At 45.7% G+C, this 3,305-nt stretch overlaps 1 annotated feature.

Annotated features, from left to right (window-relative positions):
- Positions 1,655 to 2,229: an enhancer, noted in NCBI's record as "H3K4me1 hESC enhancer chr3:72184639-72185213 (GRCh37/hg19 assembly coordinates)". NCBI's record gives its function as "activates a minimal SCP1, AML or CMV promoter by ChIP-STARR-seq in naive H9 embryonic stem cells {active_cell/tissue: H9 hESC(naive)}" and the evidence as "EXISTENCE:reporter gene assay evidence [ECO:0000049][PMID:30033119]".

Here is a 3,305-nt window from a genome sequence, read left to right on the forward strand (position 1 = left end):
ATCCAGGGTCTCAGCCAATTTCGTCAGCTTCCTGAGTTTCCTCTGTCCTTCTCTCTACATCTCCCTACATCTTAGCTCTGTCCTTTTCCATATGCCCACCCATGCAGCTTGAGACAGTGACTGCTATCCTCACCTAATTCCAGTTTTACAAACCCAGTGGAAAACAAGGCCCTCTCTCCCTCACACAAATGCCAGTCCTAAGGAGGAATCGTTTGCCCTGTTGTTCCCCTGCCCATCACTAAACACATCACTTTGTCCAGAGAGGATAAAATTATCTGTCATTGGCCACTCTGGGTCATATTTCCAACCTTGCATGGAGAAGACAGGGCACTTCGGGTCAGCTCCAGTGGGACTCACGGTGTTGGAGAGGGGATCCCCAAAGGGCCATGCTAAACAGACCAAAATCACAGTGTCTTTGTCCTACACAGCTGGGGTAGCACTTACCACTTTGTATTTTCCTTCATCTCTTTAAACCATTAGCTACTAGTTATCATCACTTCAATTCTGTAACTTGAATTCATACGTTTCATTCATTTGACAAATACTGACCAAATGCCTACTGTGTGCTAGACTGAGGGGCACGAAATTAGGCTGTGTCTTACTCCTCACGGCAACACTGTGGGCTGGGCATTTTCATTACCCCCACACAGGGATGACATAGTGTTATGGGTTGAATGGTGTACCCCCAAATTCATATGTCAAAATCCTAGCCTCCAGTATCTCAGAATGTGACTGTATTTGAAAATAGAATCTTTACAGAGGTAATCAAGTCAACATGAGGTCCTTAAGGTACGCCCTAATCCAGTATGACTGGTGTTCCTATCAAAAGGGGAAATTTGGACACAGAGACATGCATAAAGGAAGAAAAGGTGAAGATGTCCATCTACAAGTCAAGGAGAGAGGCCTAGAGTAGATCCTTCCCTCACAGTCCTCAGAAGGAACCAACTTTGTGGATGCTTTGACCTTAGACTCCCAACCTCCAGAACTGTGAGAGAAGAACTTTCAGTTGTTTAAGCTACCCAGTTTGTGGTACTTTGTTAGGGAAGCCCTAGAAAACTAATATACATAGATATACTATGTATTTGCCTATGTGCATTGCATGTGCACACACACACATACACAGGTGCACATGCACACACACATATTATTCCATTTTTTTAAAAAAGCCCCTAAAAAATAAAATGATCATGAATGCTTAGCAAAGAAATCAACTAAATTTCATTTATAGTCATCACCACCCACCCCTTCTCTCCACAACTAGAATAAAAGGGCTTCATTAAAGGAAGTAAGAACAAAAAACTTTCTTGTCTCTCACCTTCTACATAAAAGGTTTACTCAGGGGAAATCACCATTTGAAAGCCAGTTTTATCTGGGTCTTACTTAGAAACAGCCTTACCAGAATGCAGAAGTGGAGCGAGAGAAGAGGAGAAAGACCGTCTTTAAGCCACATGTCTGTTGCTGCTCACAAGGGAGACCGTTGGGAGAGCCAGGAGCTGAACAGGCAGAGAGACCCACGAGCGTTGCCAACCATCTCGTTCTGCCTGGGACTAAGGGATTCCTGGGATCTGGAACTTTCAGTGCTGAAAATTGGATAGTCCTAGGCACACCAGATGGCTGGTGTCCCTCCAGTCCTTTGCCCCACAGGGTGGCAGGTTCCAAGGAGAGGCTGTGGAGCGGACAGCCTGTGCTGGGACCCCAGTCCCTGCCTCCTCGCTGGGCAGAAGATTCACCTGTCTGAGCCTCAGTTTCCTTAGCTTGAAGATGGGGATAATAAGAATAATACCTTACCCTGTAAAGGTGTTGAGAGGCGTGGCAGTAGCCCCTGGATGTTCCTGAGGTGAGCAGTTCGGGCTGAACTCAGACTCACCTGCTTTGCCTGGAAGCATCTTTCTGTATTTTGCTTTAGGGCTTTCTGTGCTGAGGCAGCTTGCTTGGCCAGTGCAGAAAGCACAGGCCAGGACAGCAGAGGAGCTAATGCCCCCGAGGGTAACCTTCTACCAATTAGGCTTAGAAGCAGTGAATCAGTGCTTAGACCTCCCTGACGTTCGGGAACATCTGTTGGAGGCATTCTCTATGCTTCTCAAGGCCCCACTGCAGCTGGCTTTGGGGTCTGGAGCAGCAATTTTGAGAAGCCCCCTTATATGAGCCTGACAGTCATCCACTCCACACTCCTGCTTCCTAGAGTGACCTCTCAAGTAAATCCCCTGTATCCAAGCCCTTGTTGCAGGCTCAGGCTTCAGGGGAAACCAAACTTCGGATAATTAAAAGTCACAACCAGGTTTAGCAAATGTCAAGCAGCCATTTCAAAAATGCCCATTGTGGTTATTTGTCTGGGGTTTAGAGTTCACGGGTGCTGGGAAACCCTGCTTTTAAGGTGGGCCATCTCAGGGACCCAGAGGCTGCCAATATACTTTAGTAACAGCCCTAAGAAAGTGGATCGAGTCCACCTGTAGATAGATGTCACTTGGCTAAGCTGAAATTTGTTCAAAATGGAAAATGCCTGGAAGAGTTTGGGGTATTTCTTCAAGTTGGATGAAAGCGTTTCACCCTCCCAACTGTATAAAATTGTGGGTGCCTAAAATTATAACCATTCTCCCCACCATTGGTTTTTATGTCCTCAAAGCAATGAGATAAAGGAACAACAAAAAGTCTGTACGATAGCCAAACACAATCGTGTGATTTTTCCAGGGCACTAAAGGGTGGTTAGGGTACCTTCCCAATGCTCACTTAGCTTGTAAACAAATAGCTTTAGGCAAGCGACCTTGTCACAGAAATGTTTCTGAGATTTGCAATGAGACAAGTCTTTTGACATTAAAGCCCGAAGTACACAGGGAGATGAAAATGACAGCAGGGTCTGGATTCAAAAGAAATGACGATGGTGTTCCACAACATGCCATCTGAATATAAGCCGTTTCCCATAAGGATTTCCGCCCAACATTTCTCCAGATATGGATCAAGAGTATTTGAGATCCAAGGGCTGGAAGTGTGGCTCGACTCCTGTTAGGTATTGGTTGAAGGCGAGCTATGCCTAGGTTCTCTAAGGCTATGGATGGAGATCCAGCTCTAAAGGGGTTGCCAAGGACCCAGAAGGGTCTGAAACACAGGGAGTTAACCACAGGGGATCATCTACTTCTAGATGTCTTGAAAAAGACAAGGAAGAATAATAGAGGTAAGGAAGAATAATAGAGGTGAGGAATTGGGATCCTTAAACAGCACTTCTCAAACTTTCATGTTTATTTGAATCCCCTGGGGCTCTTGTTAAGATGTTGATTCTGATTCAGTAGGCCCAGCATTGGGCCTGAGAT

Source organism: Homo sapiens, chromosome 3 (assembly GCF_000001405.40).
Source record: "Homo sapiens chromosome 3, GRCh38.p14 Primary Assembly".
Classification (NCBI taxonomy): domain Eukaryota; kingdom Metazoa; phylum Chordata; class Mammalia; order Primates; family Hominidae; genus Homo; species Homo sapiens.